At 50.0% G+C, this 19,369-nt stretch overlaps 1 protein-coding gene across 1 annotated transcript, besides 2 other annotated features; it reads left to right on the top strand.

Moving 5' to 3' along the window:
- Positions 1,519 to 7,669, top strand: KISS1 (KiSS-1 metastasis suppressor). The gene is made up of 3 exons (NM_002256.4): positions 1,519 to 1,634; positions 5,096 to 5,236; positions 7,213 to 7,669. Exons 2-3 carry the CDS (start codon positions 5,134 to 5,136, stop codon positions 7,524 to 7,526), a joined length of 417 nt encoding a protein of 138 aa, NP_002247.3. The 5' UTR covers positions 1,519 to 1,634; positions 5,096 to 5,133; the 3' UTR covers positions 7,527 to 7,669.
- Positions 8,449 to 8,528: an enhancer, noted in NCBI's record as "active region_2359". NCBI's record gives its function as "activates an Ori minimal core promoter by ATAC-STARR-seq in GM12878 lymphoblastoid cells {active_cell/tissue: GM12878}" and the evidence as "EXISTENCE:reporter gene assay evidence [ECO:0000049][PMID:35858748]".
- Positions 18,694 to 19,194: an enhancer, noted in NCBI's record as "H3K4me1 hESC enhancer chr1:204147944-204148444 (GRCh37/hg19 assembly coordinates)". NCBI's record gives its function as "activates a minimal SCP1, AML or CMV promoter by ChIP-STARR-seq in primed H9 embryonic stem cells {active_cell/tissue: H9 hESC(primed)}" and the evidence as "EXISTENCE:reporter gene assay evidence [ECO:0000049][PMID:30033119]".

Raw genomic sequence — 19,369 nt, 5'->3', positions numbered from 1 at the left:
AAAAATTAGCGGGGCGTGGTGGCAGGTGCCTGTAGTTCCAGCTACTCAAAAGGCTGAGGCAGGAGGATCGCTTGAACCCAGGAGGCGGAGGTTGCAGTGAGCTGAGATCGCACCACTGGATTCCAGCCTGGGTGACAAAGCCAGACTCCGTCTCAAAAAAAAAAAAGTTAGCGTCTTCAGCCCATTAAGACCACCTCCTGCTTCAGGACAGGCCAACGTACACATCATCCCCACAGCGAAGTTTTGGTCTATGAGGGTCAGTGCTGTCCTCATAGGCTATCATTTCTGTCCTGGTGTTTAACAGCCCTAATGGGTGTGATAATAATATGTTTGCAATCCCCTGTTAACAGTAAGCATCAGACAAGTGAGGGGTGCTAACCTGCAGACTGCCGGCATGCTTCTCCAGCATTAGGGGACGACCAGGTTGAGCTTGTGCTGGGAGAGCGTCCTGTCTGAGGGTAGAGACATAGCCCCTGCCTTCAGAGACTCCCAGCCTGATAGAAGAAACAGTCTCTGCCCTGGAGAGCCCCTTGTCCAAGGGTATAGAGAGTTATTGCAGGCTCAAGAAAGAGACAAAAGTCACTTGCGATGCATGCAGTTAGCAAATATCTATTGAGGGCCCTCTCTGTATGTGCCCAGCAATGGAGTGGGTGCCAAGGGTACAGGGGGAAGGGGGCCTGTCCCTGTCCTCAAAGTGCTGTACCTGAGCAGTCACAAAATAGTATGGTGGTGGGTGCCACGAGACAAGAAGGTGGGGCCCCCAAGCAGGCTGTCTGGATGTGCTGCCACCTGGAAGTCCCCTCTCTGCACCCCTGGCACTTCCCAGGTGCATCCACCTTCTGCAGCTCCCATTTCGTCCTCCTTGCTCATAGCTGGTTGCTTACCTAAGGTCTCTGACCAGTCCATAGCCTATTCACCTCAAAACCCTGCGCTGAGGAAGCGCTCAGTGACCGAGGAAAGAAGGGAAGCAGGAAGGAAGGAAAAAGGAGAGAATCTCTGCCACCACCACCCTGTGCCAGTCACAGGGCGCAGTCTAGGAGCCGCCTGGAGACCCACGCTGACCTGGCTTTCCCTCAGAGCTGGGAGCATGGGATGTGAGGAGCCCCTGGGTCAGCCTGTGCCCTTCTCCTCCCCTCTTCCTGTCGTTTTCTACGTCTAATTCAGACTAGGTGTGTCTGTGGCTCTTCGGAGAGGAAACAAGACATTTCACACTGACACTTCTCCCCACCCTCCTCAGATAGCCCATTTCCACGTTGTTTGGGGGCAGGATGGGTCCTCTGGGTGGGAAGAGGGTGTGGAGGATGGAAAGAGCCGGTAAGAAGGAGAAAGTCCCGCCTCGGAGGGCTCGGGTGGGGCAGGAGGAGAGGCTGCCTCCAGTCACAGAGCCCGGAGGCAGAGGCCTCCCAAGGTGCCATGCTCTTCAGGAGGGTCTGAGGAGGAGGGAGGGGCGGCAGAGTGGGCCTGTGCTTGGAGACGTCACCCCGGGCTTTATAAAAGGGATGTGATCAGGGAGCTGGGGAGAACTCTTGAGACCGGGAGCCCAGCTGCCCACCCTCTGGACATTCACCCAGCCAGGTGGTCTCGTCACCTCAGAGGCTCCGCCAGACTCCTGCCCAGGCCAGGACTGAGGCAAGGTAGGCACACTGCAGTGTCCACCCCTGGGAAGGGGGTCTGCCCTGACCTGGGGATGCTCTGGAGGGGAGCAGGGAATCCGTTCTAAGACGGACAGATGCATCCAGGCAGGCAAAGGCAGGGGAGGGAGACACTGATCTTTCCTGTTTACCAGCCTGGCCAGATTATCCTGGGATGCCTGGGCGAATACACTGAGTCGCACTTTATTTGTGAAGCTAACACTCTGGGGATCCCGAGGGCTCTCTCTTGCTGTGGAAGGAATACATGCAATAAATAAATGCTGTGGCTGGAATTAGAGACCACAGACACGCTTGGATGGACCTAGGGAACCGCTCGGGGCTCTTGAGAGCAATGGGGCTCCTCTGAGCAGCTCCCCCCAAATTACAGATGGCAAATACAAGCCTAACCAAGGGCATCTACCTACCCACTAAGAACTAGGGGCCACTTCACTCCAGAAGCTTTCCAACCATGCCTGGAATTTCTGTCACTCACTGGATACAAACCCCCCAGGGTGGAGGGAACCACAAAAATTGTCTACAGCAGGTCGGCCACTCATGGCCCCTTTCCAAATAATTCATTTCTACCATATATGTTAAGTGCCCCGATGGGCTGGGCAGTGGAATCTGTGTGTGTGTGTGTGTGTGTGTGTGTGTGTGTGTGTGATATGTGTGTATGGGTGTATGTGTGTATATGTGTGTGATGTGTGTGCGCATGTGTGGTGTATGTGGTGTATGTGTGTGTATGATGTACGTGTATGGGTGTATGTGTGTATATGTGTGTGGCGTGTGTGTGCATCTGTGGTGTGTAGTGTATGTGTACGGGTGTATGGGTATATATCTGTGTGGTGTGTGTGCATGTGTGGTATGTGTGGTGTATGTGTGTGTATGATGTGTATGTATGGATGTGTGTATGTGTGTGTGTATGTTGTGTGTATGGGTGTATGTGTGTATATGTGTGTGTGGTGTGTGTGCGTGTGTGGTGTGTGTGCATGATGTGTGTGTATAGGTGTATGTGTGTATATGTGTGTGGTGTGTATGCGTGTGTGGTGTGTGTGGCATATGTGTATGTGTGTGTATGGGTGTATGTGTGTGGTGTGTGTGGTGTATGTGTGTGTGTATGATGTGTGTGTATGGGTGTATGCGTGTATATGTGTATGGGTGTGTGCGTATATATGTGTGTGGTGTGTGTGTGCATGTGTGGTGTGTGTGGTGTATGTGTGTGGTGTGGGGGGTGTGTGTGTGTGTGCTGGGGTCAGGCAGAGTTGTCCCATGGCGCACATGGTAAGTGCCATCCACAGTGGGAAGGAGGCACTCGGGGGGAAAGGGGAGCCGGAAGAAAGAGTACCACCCTCCAACCACACAAGCCCACTGCCCTCCTTCCTGGCCCACCACCCTGCTTCCGCACAGAGAACCGGAAATGTACATCTACCCACATTCCTGTCTGGCTCAGACCCCTCCAGGATGAAGCCCCTGCAGGGCCCCTTCCCCCAGCCTTGTCACTAGCTTTCTCTCCATGCAAAGCTCCATCCTCTTGTCTAGCTAGAGGGCCTGAAGTTCCCTTTGCACTCAGCCCCTGCCCTTGCTTCAGCGCCTTAGCACCGTCCTGGGAACACTTTCTGTAAACCTTTCAGCGATTCATGCTCAGAAACAGCTCAAGTGCCACCCCCTGCCAAAAATCTGCCTGGTCCTCCTAGGTTGGGTTCCCCTGGACTCCCATATCCCCTTGTGGATTCACATGCATCCGGTATGTCATTTACAGTGTTATTTTGAAATGATCTGCTGATGAGTTAATTTCTCATGCTAGACTTGAGATCTTGGGGGCAGCAACTCTGTCTTAGCACACCTGTGCACCCCTAGCACCTAGCACAGCACCAGCACCTAGTCGGTGCTCAAGGAGTGATTTCCAAATCAACCCAGACCCTGTGCATCCACGGTCTGAAATGCTTTTACACTATTCTCTCCAATGGATTAATCCTACCTCTACTCCGTGCCCCAGCCCTGGGCCTTAAGGTAAATGCAGAAAGCTGTGGTCTGGGTTTCAACTTGTCACAGTATCAAAGTCTGCAAGGATAAGTAAACTTCTGAGCAGGTGGCTGGTGGCCAATCTGATCCAGGGTTCTTATTTTATAGATGGACCAATGAGGTCTGGAGATGGGGGTGACTTGCTCACATTTCACAGGGAATGAAAGCAGAGCTGGGGCAAGATTCAAGTACTCCTCATTCCATTTCAGGGTTCTTACTCTTTACTCCATGCCTGAGTCCTGCAGGGAGCTGGGTGAGGAATGGGGGGTGGGGGTGTGGGTGCAAGAGCAGAGAGATGCATGGGCCTGAGCCACCATTAGGAGCTGATGGGCACAAAAGGTTCTCATCCCCCAGTCCCCCTTCCCCAGGGAGAGCGGCTCCAGGCTGTGGGTCAGGCCAGGACAATCTTTTTGCTCAGCTGGCATTGCTCCTGCCTCCCCAGCCTTTTGTCTTTAATCGTGTTTGTTGGACAGTCTCAAAGTGTCTGGTGACTTTTTCAAAAAGAAATTAGATTTGGGAGCCGGAAGAGGTAGGGTGGGGTATGTGGGGTGTCGGTGGGGCAGAGCAAGGCAGGGTGATGGGAAATGGTGTGAGGATCAGGGCACACGGCTCCCATCTCAGCAGCCAAAATGATGAGGCCAATTCAATTCATAGCCTCTTAGAGTCCACAAAGAATAGACTATGGAGATAACTGACCTGATAAATCAAGGAAAGGTTTTTCTTTTCCATGAATGATAGGCAATAAGACAATTTAATGACCGTCTTCAAGGCTGTGAAGGGCTATGAGAGAGAGCAAGATGATTGCCTCTTTCTTTCTTTTTCCTTATAAAAGAAAAAGAAATAAGTTTCTCTTACAGCAGGAGAGAACAAGGTCAGACTCAAGCGTATGGATGGGGAGAGTGGAACACAGAAAGTTGTGGATTTGTGCAGAACCCACCATGGAAGGAAGAAGTGCCTGTTGCCAGGCTCCCGAGAGAATATTGGAACCTCAAAGTTCCCCACTCAGTGCCCTGAAGTCCTTGCCCTACTTCACCCCTCCCCAGTCACTCCTATATATGGCATCTCACCCCACCTTTCTCAAACATTCCTCTCAAGCAACCCTGAGATTCAGAATCCTGGCCATTCTCTGACCCAAGCAGTCCTGCCCCTTCCACCAAATTGGGTCTTTCCTTTTTTCCTAACTTTACTGTCCTCACCTCCTCCAGGAAGCCCTCCCTGATGACCCTCACCTAGCATGAATTCAGCTTTAACTACACTGTGTAAAGAGTCTCAATCCCATTTCACTGATATATTTGTTTAGACTCATCCCTCTACCAGGAGCCTCCAAAGGCAAGAACTTGCCCCTCTCTTGGAGGACTGTCCCTTTTGCACTGGGCTCTGCCCTCAGCACCCAGCCCAGATCCTGTGCCTGACCTAGTCTTTGTTCCCTCTCTCTGTCTCAGCCTCAAGGCACTTCTAGGACCTGCCTCTTCTCACCAAGATGAACTCACTGGTTTCTTGGCAGCTACTGCTTTTCCTCTGTGCCACCCACTTTGGGGAGCCATTAGAAAAGGTGGCCTCTGTGGGGAATTCTAGACCCACAGGTATGTATCCTCTGGGGAAAGGAGTGGGAGGGAGCAAGTGGGTTGTTGCAAAATGAGCTTTCCCGTATTTTCCATCTAGTCGACTGGTGTGAGTTTAACATTGCATTTGGTGGAAATCTAAGACTGGCACACATGCAACTCATTGAGGGGGTCCTGTTAACCCTGCAAGTGACGGATGCCTTGCCTCTGTGATGGCCTCAGTCCGCCCACCTAGGTTCCAGGGCTTATTAACCCTTGAGCTCTTTCATGGTTTCCTCACACTGTGTTCTCTGCTCTACGTCAGCAACCTCTCTGTGCCGATGTTGAGAAGAAACTTCATATGCAACCTTGCTTTATCGGTGACCTCAGATTCTTTGTGGAGAATTTGGAAAAAAAAAAAAACCTAAACCAAAGGGCAGATATTTGATACCTATTAACCTTTTGGAGACAATGAACTGTCTCCAGTTCATTGGGGAACTGATAAGCTGGAAAATTTGAGACCCACAGAGGTAAAGAGATTTCCCCAGAGTCGCTCAAACACTGTGGAAACCCAGCAGGTGTCAGAGCTCCCCAGGAGTGTGTCTGGTGAGTGGCACAAGCTAGAACAATACTAGTCCCCAAGTCAGGAGCTGTGGCTTGGCACACTTCCTGGTGTCAGCTTTCTGGGCAAACTAGAACCCATGACTTAGCTTCTCTGGACCTGAGTTCCCCCAGCTATAAAACTTGGGGCATGCCCTCTACACATTTGATGTCATCGTATATGCCCATAAGACCTTCCAGAGCACAGAGGACACGGCCCCGGGTGTCGTTTGCCAAGCGTGTCTTCTGTCCTGGGATCAGGCGTTTTTCTGGGTGAGGGAGGCTACCCCAGAAAATAACCCCACACTGCCCAGGGATATAGGGTTGTTGGCTCTTTTTGGCAAAAGGCTTTAGGTGAGGTCACCAACAGCAGCCTGAACAGTGATTTACTACTGGTCTAGCGTGCGCAACTGGGGAGGAAGCCATCCTCCTCCTACCTCAGCCAGGCCCTGGGCAAGGGCTGAGGGACCTCGCAGGCGACTGCCATTAACTCTGGACCAGGTCCACACTCCTCTTTTCCAGACTGTGCCAGGGCACGGAGGAGCAGGGCTCAAAGCCAACTGCCGCCCCAGCACATCTATTCACACCCATTCACACACCAGGCCTCATTTCCACTAATCTCTTGCCGCAATGGGCTGGGGTTATTGTCTACACAGAGCTAGTTGCCCTATTTTACAGCCAAAAAGTACAGTGAACTTAATGAGCCTTGCATGTGAAGTGCCTTCCAAATTAGCCTTGTTAATCCTCAGAATGAAGGAGAGAAGTTATACCCAGGATGGAGGAAGAGAGCCAGTTAAGGTGACCTAGATAATTTTTGTTTCTCATTGAGTCCTTATGTAGCTTATTGGGCGGGGTTGGGGGGGTGGGTGGTCACAATTCTTATCAAAGACGAGTGTTGGAACACAGGTGTGTGGGGCCACAATGTCTTAGCTCCACTTTCTCGATTTCTGTTACTACACGTTTTTAGCTTTTATGTATTTAACAGGCATTTATTGAGGCCCCACTATGAGCAAGCCACTGTTTCAAGCACTATGAGAGATACAGAGATGAATTAACATGGCCCCACTGCCCAGGCTGCTCACAGCCAGGAAGGGGCCCAGAGCTGGGTGTTCAGCAAATACTTTGGTTTTCTTTATTTCCATGCCCTACCCTGTTTGTTTCCTAAAAGGAAGTAACGTAATATGAGAGTTATTTAAGATAATTCTGGCAAACATTCTAAATCAAAGCTATGTTGGAAGAGGGAGGCGCCTAGGGCCTAATCATCCCAGCTAAGGTGATCGTGCTGGTTCGCATGGCACTGAGCTCCGAGCTTCCAAAAGGTCAAGGAAGGAAAAGAAGGATAGGATGGGATGACAGGAGGTGTTGCAAAGCCATCTTTCCCGGACCCCGGCCTCATCTTTCTGTGCCCTCTGTCCTAGGCCAGCAGCTAGAATCCCTGGGCCTCCTGGCCCCCGGGGAGCAGAGCCTGCCGTGCACCGAGAGGAAGCCAGCTGCTACTGCCAGGCTGAGCCGTCGGGGGACCTCGCTGTCCCCGCCCCCCGAGAGCTCCGGGAGCCCCCAGCAGCCGGGCCTGTCCGCCCCCCACAGCCGCCAGATCCCCGCACCCCAGGGCGCGGTGCTGGTGCAGCGGGAGAAGGACCTGCCGAACTACAACTGGAACTCCTTCGGCCTGCGCTTCGGCAAGCGGGAGGCGGCACCAGGGAACCACGGCAGAAGCGCTGGGCGGGGCTGAGGGCGCAGGTGCGGGGCAGTGAACTTCAGACCCCAAAGGAGTCAGAGCATGCGGGGCGGGGGCGGGGGGCGGGGACGTAGGGCTAAGGGAGGGGGCGCTGGAGCTTCCAACCCGAGGCAATAAAAGAAATGTTGCGTAACTCACTGACGTGTGGTCTGCGGCTCATTTTTGCAAGCAGCTCTGATGAGGCTGTTCCCCTTCCATCCTCAATGGATGGTTAGCTGATTTCAAGAGGCCTCTGGTGTCATTAAGGTCAGTGCTTCTCACACTAGGTGTAATGAAGGAACAGGCGGTTAGTTCTCCAATCCATTGCAGATTGGTACTTAAAAAAAAAAATTAAAATGGATCACTGAAAATCTGAAAAATTTAAAAACAACAAAAGAGAAGACCAAACTGTATGCTGCTGGAATGTTTCAGCGATATCAAATTTCTATAAAAATTTCTGGAGATGTCCTCAGAATGCCCAGACTTATCTCCCTGAGGATGGGTGACATTTTGCAGAGGGTCATGGCTCACTGCCCACACTTTGAGTAGTACTGGGGGATAAGGGAGGCATGGGGGAGATGGACTGATTAAGTACCTTTCCCTTTCCCACGGAAGTTGGGCAGCTTGATCTGGAAGATGATGCCAATCACTGCCCTGTCCATTGAGGCTTAAATATCATCTGAGCCCCACAGTCAGACCCCTGCTGGGGTCTGGGATGCAAAGGGCATCAACAGTGGACCAGCCACTCACTCTTCCCCCTTCCCTCCAGGGAGCCAGGTTGGGTCTTTACACATATTGCTTTCCTTCATCCTCATAACTACCCAGGGTGATGGGAATGCATTAGCCCCATCTTTACAGGTAGAACCCTAAAGTCAAGAAGGATAAACCACTCGCTCCAGACACATCGGCAATGAGCTCCAAGCCTAATAGGTCTCCTGATACCAGAGCCTGTCTTCCCCACTGACCTGTCATGCCTCTCTGCCATGGCAGGGTTTCCATCTGAGTCAGCCAGGTGCAGATCAAGAAAGCGTAGCCTGCCTCATGGGGACTTACTTTGGGGTGCAATAGCTGGGGAGTAGAAATTGTGGTAGGAAGAAGTAGAGCTCGTCAGTGGGAAAACCCCAGGAAATCCACCCTCCTGCCGACAAGAAAACACAGCACTACTTAGCCTCGGGGTACCCCTATACTGCACAGTCTAGGATGAAAATGTTCTTTCCCAGAGGGATCGTAGGACCCGTCTCCATACAGTGAAGTGACACAGTGTTCCACCCACTACGGAAACCAGGACTCCACAGGATGGAGGCAGAGCTGTGTTGCTATGGCAATGAGATAGGCTGTCATGGGAACATGACAACATGCTCCCCCATCTCTACCCTTGAAACAGCTCTCCAGGATCTCCCAAATTATCGATACTGCTGTGAGCTCACATCATCACGCATCATGACAGCATGATGTTGATATTTAGAAGGGCTTTTTATTCCTAAACACTCTGGGGTGTGTCTCTGTACCTCTAGGAGGGCAATCATCAACTCAAGACCTATTCTATTAAGCATGCTGTTCTCCTAGCCCCTGGAAGCAATCCTTTATCTGATGATGGGCAGGAAGAAGCTGATGGTTTCCTGAATTCTGCTCTGAATTTTTACAAAACTTCCTGTGACCCCATTTACTCTTCCTCACAAGCTTAAGCTTGGGCAGATGGGAGGAGTGTGTGTGCCGCTTCAAGTGCGGGAGAGTGAAATGTGTTCTCTGGTGTGAGAAGCTGGGGTGTGTGTGAGAGGGCATGTATGAGGGGGGTCAATATAAGAAACTGCATGAAGTTCATATGCACATGCCTGTGTGACCTTGTGTATAGTGTGGGTTCCTCTAACCATCTTCCAGTCCTTGTCAGCACTGCTGCAACCCGAGGGTCCCCCAAGATCTCTCGTCTAGCTGACCAGAGGCCCTGCTTCAGCAGACAGCTAGAAGGGGGTTGAATGCCCATCCCATGCTTCTAGCAGCCTGAACTGCTACCTTTGAGACTCTGGGCTTTGCAGTTCTTGGCCTCGTGTCTTGGGAAAATATGGGGAGTCTCTGTGGAACAAAAGGGATTTCTGATTTCATGTGGCTCCCAGCCTGTGAGCCTGCTATCCAGATGGAAGGGAAGGAGAGGAGGAGATTGGAGGCTGTGAAGAGCCCCAGGGATTCCCTTCCCTCCCTCCAGCCTTTCTGGGTGGGCTCAGAGAGTGGGGCACCAGAGCCCAAACACTTGGAGGTAGGGCTGCCTGCAGGCACTCGAACCTACTTCTTCCTGGGGTCTCTGGACAGTGCCCAAAGGGGAGAAATCAGCAGGGCCTGGCATCCCTTGTGATTGGAAGTGGGAGGATCTCTTCCCAGGCTCCATCCCGTTTGGTAAGTCATTTACAATAGATGTGGGCTAGGAATTAGGGGGCAGGGGTGAGAGGGATGCAGGGAGATTTCTGCCTCTAGTATCGTTCTTATCACATTCATGAGCCATTTTTGAGTACCTGCAGCATGCCAAGCACAGGCCTACCTCATTTTATCCTGACAACTGCATGAGGTGGGAGTACAATCCTCATTGTATAGAAGAAAAAACTGAGGCTTGAAGAGGTTTAAGTAGTGTGCTCAAGCAGTTGTAAAGTCGTAGAGCCAAGAGTCAGACTCCCACATTCTAATTGCAAACACCATAAGCTTCCTACATACTGTAGCCTTTCCTTCTTCTGTAGCCCCTATGCCACTTAAGAAAGCACTGCCAGGTAGCAAACCCAACCCTTTTCCTGAATGATTTGTCTTGGGAAGCAGTCTGGCAGGCAATGTCACTCTATCCAACCCATCTGCAGTGCCTCTCCACAACACTAGTGACAATACAGACAAGTCACCAATCCCCAGGGCAGGTCTCCTCTTCTCAGACCACATGCCAGGGGCCAGGCATCTGCTCTTGCCCCTGCCTGCCTTCTCTCTCTGCCAGCAGCTTCCCAGGTCTAGAATTGGTCACAGGGAGGGGAAGGATGTCAAGTCCAAACAGTGTGCCCTTCCTCACCTGTGCCTTCTTCCGTTTTTCCATCTTCCATTTTAAAAGACATCAGAACCTATCATGGTTTCGTGCTTGGTGCAGAATGCGGAGCCTGGGGACAAGGTTTGCTTTTGGTTACTGGGGAAGCCAAGACACAACAAACAGCTCCCCACTTTCATCACCTTCTCAGGTTTTGCTTTCTTATGATTCCTTTAATATCTGCCCAATAGTCTTTACAATTAACCCTGCAGCATATTGCCTTCATAAAATGTTAAAAAGTACCACTTTGGACACATCTGTGTTTGCTCACTCCCTAAGCCCCTTAGAAGAAGCAAAGGAAGAAGAAAGGTATAAACCCTCAAGGACAAAGAGAAGGGAGAGGAAACCGGAGCAGATGAGAAATGTCAACAAGATTTTGAAGATGGAAATTGTATGATGGGCTTGGCAGAGAGCAAAGGAAGCTACAACCTGAAGCCAGCAAAGGGGGTTACCGACGGGACATGACTGATTCCTGCCCAGGACCAAGCCTTGGCATGTGGAAATGTCTGGTAGAGATGACACCTGGACTGAAAACAGGGAGACTGGCTGAAAATCTGCACAGGGAGGAGTTAGATTTCCCGACTCCCCTCCCGCAGCGAACACAACCAGGCTACTCCACCAGGAAGAGGCCAGACACTTCCTCTCCCAAGGACTGCAGTGGAGACACTCCAGTCATGGGGACAGAAAGCATAATCAAGATGTGGATAAAGAGTGGTTGAAGGTCAGGCGCGGCGGCTCATGCCTGTAATCCAAACACTTTGGGATTCCGAGGTGGGCGGATCGCTTGAGGTCAGGAGTTGAAGACCAGCCTGGCCAACATGGTGATACCCTGTCTCTACTAAAAACACAAAAATTAGCTGGGTATGGTGGTGTGTGCCTGTAATTCCAGCTACTCAGGAAGCTGAGGCATGAGAATTGCTTGAACCAGGGAGGAGGAGGTTGCAGTGAGCCAAGATTGTAACACTGCACTCCAGCCTGGGTGACAGAGTAAGACTCTGTTTCAAAAAAAAAAGAGAGTGGCTGAAAAGCAGGACCATGTGACAGTCTCTCTGGGTAAGCCCCCTCCCTCTCTGTGTGCCGGGAATGCAGGCAGCAAGGTATATATTCCCCAGGCGGGAGACCAAAGACCCCAAAGAAAAGACCTTCAGATGCTGACATTGGAGGGTGCCCCAGAAAAAAGCCAGCTTGGAGCCCCCAACTAGAGTGGGGTGCACCTGCGCATTAGTTCTGCCTATGCACTCTGAGTTTCTAGGCCCCTCCACCTGCTTCCCTCTTAACCATGAATGAAGTCAAGGAGTCACTGGAGTTTGAAGAAAACTTCGAGTTGGAAGAGTAGACCAAGCACACAAATACAGAGGAAACACTTTCTGCAGAAAACAGATACAATTTTTTATGTGTGGTTAAAAAAAAATTACAAAATGTCCCATATTTCCAAGTGTGGTGCTTTATACCTGTAACCCCAGCACTTTGGGAGGCCAAAGAGGAAGGATAGCTTGAAGCTAGGAGTTCAAGACCAGCCTGAGCAACATAGAGAGACCCCATCTCTACAAAAAACAAAATAAATTGGTTAGGCATGGTGGTGTGCACCCAATAGTCCCAGCTACTTAGAAGGCTGAGGTGGGAGGATCGCTTGAGCCTGGGAGGTCAAGGCTGTGGTGAGCCATGATCATACCACTGCAATGCAGCCTGGGTGACAGAGCAAAAAAGACTCTGTCTCAAAAAAAAAAAAAAAAAAAAAACGGCCAGTTGTGGTGGTTCACACCTGTAATCCCAGCACTTTGGAAGGGTGAGGCGGGGGATCTCTTGAGCTCAGGAGTTTGAAACCAGCCTAGGAAACATAAGGAGATCTTGTTTCTTAAACACAATGGGCCGGGCATGATGGCTCACACCTGTAATCCCAGTGCTTTGGGAGGCCGAGGTGGGTGGATCTAAGGTAAGGAGTTCGAGACCAGCCTGACCAATATGATGAAACCCATCTCTACTAAAAATACAAAAATTAGGCAGGCCTGGTGGTGCATGCCTGTGGTCCCAGCTACTCAGGAGGCTGAAGCAGGAGAATTGCTTGAACCCGGGAGGCGGAGGTTATAGCTAGCCGAGATCGTGCCACTGCACTCCAGCCTGGGCGACAGAGTGAGACTCCGTCTCAAAAAAAAGAAAAACAAACAAACAAAACAAAAGTGTAAGATCCCTGAAGGTATAAAAGAAAATTTTGCATCTATAAGACAAGTGCTGGATGCAGTAAAAACAGAAGTTATCAGAGAATCAGAAATGGCCTTTGGAAGTTAAAAATATGAGATCAAAATGTTTAAAAAAAAATAAAAGAATTGAAACATAAAGTTAAGGAAATCTCCTAGAAAGTAGAACAAAAAGAAATCAAGCAGGCATGGTGGTGGGCTCTTGTAGTCCCAGCTACTCAAGAGGCTGAGGCAGGAGGATCACTTGAGCCCAGGAGTTTGAGGCTGCAGTGAGCCATGATCACACCATTGCACTCCAGCCTGGGTGACAGAATGAGACTCTTTCTCAAAAAAAAAAAAAAAAAAAAAAAAAGGAAAAGAAAAAGAAAAGGAAAAAATCAAGAGATAAAATATAGGAAAAGTAGAAAAACAAACAAAAGTTGCAACATCCTACTTATGTGAGTTCCAAGAAAAGAGAAAAGAGAAAAATGGAAGGGAAGAAATGACCAAACAATTAATGCAGGATGATTTGCCAGAATGGAAGGACATGAATTTCCAAATTGAAAGGGCTCACTGAGTGTCCAGCTTATGAAAGAAAAAAGACCCAGGCCAGGCATAAGGAAAAGGCAGTGGAAGCCCCTTGGGATGAAACCATGGAAGGAGTTGAGAATCAGACTCATTCAAACAAGAAGATATGGCCAGGCACAGTGGCTCATGCCTGTAATCCCAGCACTTTGGGAGGTCAAGGTGGGAGGATCACTTGAGGTCAGGAGTTCGAGACCAGCCTGGCCAACATGGTGAAACCCTGTCTCTACTAAAAATACAAAAAAATTAGCTGGGCATGGTGGGTGCCTGAACTCCCAGCTACTCTGGAGGCTGAGGCAGGAGAATCCAGCCTAGGCAATAAGAGTGAAACTTTGTCTCAAAAAAAAAAAAAAAAAAGAAGAAGAAGATATTGGAAAAACCACTTCCAATATCAGAGAGAAAATAATTCCAACCTAGAATTCTTTTCACATTGAACTATCAAGAATAAGGTCCAAATGGGGATCTTTTTAGACATGTCAGGGCTAGAAGTGTTTACTGTCATGCACTCTTTCTCAGGGAGCTTTGGAAGCTCTATTTAAACAAACACATAAACTGAGAAAGAGCAATTCCCAGGCACCAGCACACAGAGATGTAGCAGAGAGAGGTCCCCAGGGCAACAAGGCAGAGCTCCCTGGAAAAAATCCCACTGGGCCATAAATTGGGTGTAAGACCAGGTGGGAAGGGGTTTGGAGGATCTCAGCAGAATATATAAGGTCAGGCGGGTGCAGTGGCTCACGCCTGTAATCCTAGCACTTTGGGAGGCCAAGATGGGCAGGTTGCTTGAGCCCAGGAGTTTGAGACCAGCCTGGGCAACATAGTGAAACCCTGTCTCCACACACACACAAAATACAAAAAAAAAAAAAAAAAAAAAAGCGTGGTGGTGTACGCCTGTAGTTCTAGCTACTCAGGAGGCTGAGGTGGGAGGATTGCTTGAGCCTGGGGTGATTGAGGTTGCAGTGAGCCACTAGTGCACCACTGCTATCCAGCCTGGACGACAGGGTGAGACCCTGTCTTAAATAAATAAATAAATAAGTTCATAGAAAAACAAGAAGTAGAAGAGGAGAGGCAATGCTAAACAATGAATATACAAAATACACAAGAAAGGAAATTAATCCATAATACACAGTGAACAATAATTATTTATTGTAAATATTGAGGTTGTTTTTGTTTTTGTTTTCACTTGCCAGACTATCCAAAACTTCAGTCTTGCCTTTTCCACCTTCAGAATTAGAAAGCTTAATGTTATCAATGGTGACTTCACAAGGGATGCTGTCATCTTCATCCTCAGATTCTGAACTCTTTACTTTTGAATTCGACTGGTTCATCTCAAACAAGACCATATCCATTTGTATAACTTTTCTAAGAGAACCATCAATATTTTCAATACTGAAACAACCAGGTGGTGAACCCGCCATTTATTTTCTTAGCTTTTCATGTGCCTGGGCCATCTGTGGGAGAAAGGTCTGTCGTTGGTCCACTAAGGGACTCCTCTGTGTCTGGACTGGTTGGAGAGTGGAGTTCTTTCTAGAATCAAGCTGGGAGTTGATGAGCAACCTGTCTGATATACCTCCTTGGCTGTTGTTCCCTACCGTCAGCCACTCCTTAGGCACCAAGGCTCCCTCTGTAGCAGTCCTGGGTGGACAACACAGAGCTTGAGCTGGCCTGGGGCTTGTGGTGACCTCTATGCCTCCTGCACACCCAGGCCCGAAGGCAGGAAAGACCTGAGTTTTGATTTTGTCAAAAACCAAGGGGTGGAATATGAGAGAAATTCTCATCTATCACAAAAGAAGAGTAATAAAAATGTGTAAAATTTTGGCCAGGCGCGATGGCTCACGCCTGTAATTCCCAGAACTTTGGGAGGCTGAGGTGGGTGTATCATCTGAGGTCAGGAGTTCAAGGCCAGCCTGGCCAACATGGTGAAACCCTGTCTCTACTAAAAATACGAAAATTAGCCAGGTGTGGTAGTGGGTGCCTGTAATCCCAGCTACTCTGGAGGCTGAGGCAGGGAGAATCTCTTGAACCCGGGAGGTGGAGGTTGCAGTGAGCCGAGATCATGCCACTGCACTCCGACAGAGCGAGACTCCATCTCAAAAAATAATAATAATAAATAAAAGTATATGCGTCACCTTTAGGAATATGAATGACCAACAATAGCAGAATAGTCTAGAGAGTTAACAGTCTTACCTTGGAGGAGCCAGGCTGAGAGCTGGGGGTGGGGGTGGAATTGGAGATTGCTGGTTTTCATTATAAGCCTTTTAGTTGTATTCATTTTTAAAGCTACAGCATATTTTTTTCTGATTAAAAAAATATTAAGTCCAGCCTGGCCAACATGGTGAAACTCTGCTTCTACTAAAAAATATAAAAATTAGGCCGGGCGCGGTGGCTCACGCCTGTAATCCCAGCACTTTGGGAGGCCGAGGCGGGCGGATCACGAGGTCAGGAGATCGAGACCATCCCGGCTAAAACGGTGAAACCCCGTCTCTACTAAAAATACAAAAAATTAGCCGGGCGTAGTGGCGGGCGCCTGTAGTCCCAGCTACTTGGGAGGCTGAGGCAGGAGAATGGCGTGAACCCGGGAGGCGGAGCTTGCAGTGAGCCGAGATCGCACCACTGCACTCCAGCCTGGGCGACAGAGCGAGACTCCGTCTCAAAAAAAAAAAATAAATAAATAAATAAATAAATAAATAAATAAATAAATAAATAAAAATTAGCTGGGCATGGTGGCTTGTGCCTGTAATTCCAGCTACTCCAGAGGCTGAGGCAGGAGAATCATTTGAACCCGGGAGGTGGAGGTTACAGCGAGCTGAAATCACACCACTGCACTTCAGCCTGGTGACAGAGCGAGACTGTCTCAAAAAAAAAAAAGAAGAAGAAGAAGAAAAAGAAGACGAAGAAGGAGAAGAGAAAAGAGGAAGGGAGGAGGAGAAAGGGGGGAAGGAAGGATGGGAGACGCGGGTGGGCAGGCAGGGAGGGAGGAAGAGAGAGGTCTGTTTTCTGGGAAATGTATTCTTGAGGTGCTGACAAAGAATTTTTGCTTGTCCAAATTTTAGTTATGCCTTTCAAATCTTCTGCTAGGTTTATCTGGGCACTTCCTTGTAAAATCCAGTTTTAGCAAAGAGCCCTGCTAAGTCAATTTAGCAAATAATCCCCACCCTCAATATCTGATCACCCTGGATATCTGACCAGGTTCCTCAGCCTGCACCATGCCACAGGTGATGTCTGATCACCATGGCCTGTCTGTGGCAGGAATCCTGTTACATGAGTTTAGCCAGAATGCCCCCATGCCCCTGATGTTTCCTCTTAGTAATTTTCATCCACTGACCCCACCATGCTCCTTGGCTTTACATTTTCACTTGCCCATGCTGTATTTGGAGTTGAGCCCAACTTCTCTCCCCAACTGCAAGAACCTGTTGCAGTGGTCCCTGTATCTATCTCAAAAGTCCTGAGTAAAGTCTGCCTTACTGTGCTTTAATAAGTGGCACTGGATAATTTTGCTTTAATAGTACAACCCCTGTCCCTAACAGCCATCCTCCATCCCAGCTATGCTTCTGCTGGTGACACTCAGCACACGAACCCCTAGCACTATACCACCCCTCTGTCACTCCCTACACACCACACACACACACACACGCACACACACACTCCACTGCTGTGCTGTCAAATCCTCCTCTAGAAAAGGAGCCTTCCAGCTTAACCTTGTTCGATAACAAAACAGACTCCTGGTGCCACTAAGGAAAAGCATTTTTCTATGTTTCTAGCTTTCATGCCTCAGGGTATTGATGTCTGGTTCCACCACATTGGGTGCATCTCATTTTAGGAACACCCTTCAATCAGGCTATCCCACCAAGCCCCCATCCCCCATGCCAATCCCCTCCTGCCCCAGGCCCCTACAGATCCCAAGACCTGTGTAACCTGCCTTCAATTTTCCTGGGTCACCAGTTAAACAGGCCTCAGGTTGGGATCACCCAACCCCATGGCTGAATACCTGTTCCTCTAAGGTTCCCAGAACAAACAACTAAGGATGCTTGGTTCTCCTCACTCCTACCCCTACCCCACCTCCATCCCAAGGTTCTTCCGTTCCTGCCCATCCCTTGCCCAGAGCTCTCTGAGTAATTATCCCTTCTGGAGAGTCTGCCCACACAAGGCAGCACTGGACGGTTACAAAACTCCATTCTGGGTCTTTCTTTCCTCTCAAGGCCACAGCTGCTCATCTCTACTAGTAGAGTTCAGCGCCCCATCTGATTGGTAAATTCCTCCAGAGCCAGCTGGAGTTCTCCAGCGATGGGGAGTGAAGCATGATGAGGGAAGGAGGACAGGTGGAAGAGAGACGTGGCCATTTGATCTCACCGCTTGCTTGCTCATTTGCTTTTGTTTGTTTTGAGACAAGGTCTTGCTGTGTCACACAGCTGGAGCGCAGAGGCCCAGCCACAGCTCACTGCAGCCTCGAACTCTTGGGCTCAAGCTATCCTTCCTCCTCAGCCTCCTAATTAGCTGGGACTACAAGTGTGTGCCCCCATGCCTGGATAATTTTTTAAAAATAGTTTTAGACACAGGGGCTCTCTATGTCACCAAAGCTGGCCTTGAATTCCTGGCTTCATGCAATTCTCCCACCTTGGCTTCCTGAGTAGCTGGGATTACAGGCATGAGCCACCATGCCCAGCCCCATTTGCTTTTTAATGAATTGAAGCAGGACTGGCCAAGAGATGATTAGCTCCCAAGCACTAAGCCTCAGTGAGTCCAAGTTCTACCTCTTTACCACCACCCCCTGGGCAGGGGCCATGATAAGAGTTTTCTACTAAACTGCTGATACCAAGAATAAATCCATGCCTGTTTCGCAGCAGCACAAACCAGACTCTTCATGCTACCCAGACTTCCCTCCCTCCACCCTCGACCTCCCCTGACCACTCCAGCCTTGGTCTCAACACCTGAATCTCCCTGGGCTCATTATCATGGAGGAGAGTGGGATTTGGGGTTTTTAAGAAAAAACCCTGAGCACCACTTATGTCCTGAGAGATTTCCAGAGGTTGTGGGATCTGAAGTAAGATGAGAGGGCTGGGATCTGACTGGATTTATGCTTCCCCTGCCTGGTTCTCACGTCCCAGCCCTGCCCCGCTGGGAAAGGGCTGGGGCAATATGACCCTTCCCTCTGCCCCCACCCACTCCACTTCCCTGAGCGAGAGGTGACGCAGCCCAGGGCTTTTGCGTAGCATCCTGGCGAGCCTTTGTGAGAAGAACTGGACCCCGGGCAGAAGGGGGTCAAAAGATGACCTGATAAGGGTCCTCATACTCTCTCTTTTCCATCCCCAGCCTGGGACTCGGGAAGGCCCAAGTTCAGAGGGGAGGAGAGGCTCTCCTGGCAGCTTCACCTCCCCTTCTGTATTTTCCCCCACCTGTGCAGCAGAAATGGGAGAGTTACAGGTCAGGCCACCTGGCAGTCAGGACACACCAGAGCTGGACAGGCACAGAGTCAGCCTGGCCCTGTCCATGGCAGGGAGCTCCCTGACAGTTGAGCACCTGGGCAGGACTATCCCCAGGTAGGGGAGTTCACCGCCTCAGAGGGCACTTGCCCTGCTGGGCAGTGTGAACCGCTGGACAGTTCCTCCTTAGAATGGAACTCAAACAGATTCTCCCCATCCCGCCACTTCTCATGAGCCTCAGATCTGCATTGTGGGCACAGAAAATAGGGCTGGTTCTGATTCCTTCCAGGGCCGCATGTGTGGCTTCTCTCTTCCAGCTAAGCTTCTCCAGGGCCTTTGGCCAACCTTCAGGACATGGTTTCAGGCCCCTTGCCTGTCCCAGCTCCAGACCATGCATGGTCGTGCTTAGCTGTGTTGCCCATTTTCTGATCTCGGGATCTCTCCTCCAACTGTTCCCCTCCCAGGCTGTGCGCTGGGGTGGAAACCAGGAGAAATAAGACAGAGGCTGTCATTTTGGACTCTGTTACCCTCTTAGAAGTTGATTTCCTTGCCTGCCCTGTGGTCTCTGCAGATCTTGTCTGCAACTTGCTTGCAGCCTCAGAGTGAGTTAGCAGAGTCATTGTTCCACTTCTC

Source organism: Homo sapiens, chromosome 1 (assembly GCF_000001405.40).
Source record: "Homo sapiens chromosome 1, GRCh38.p14 Primary Assembly".
Taxonomy (NCBI): Eukaryota; Metazoa; Chordata; class Mammalia; order Primates; family Hominidae; genus Homo; species Homo sapiens.
Note: the sequence above shows the minus strand (reverse complement) of the source record. Positions and strands in the feature narration are given on the sequence as shown.

What these genes read in the sequence shown, in the direction of transcription:
- KISS1 (NM_002256.4), top strand. Translation starts at nt 5,134, where the DNA reads ATGAACTCACTGGTTTCTTGGCAGCTACTGCTTTTCCTCTGTGCCACC. An exon ending in GGGGAATTCTAGACCCACAG is followed by an intron (nt 5,237 to 7,212) that starts GTATGTATCCTC and finishes CCTCTGTCCTAG; the next exon opens with GCCAGCAGCTAGAATCCCTG.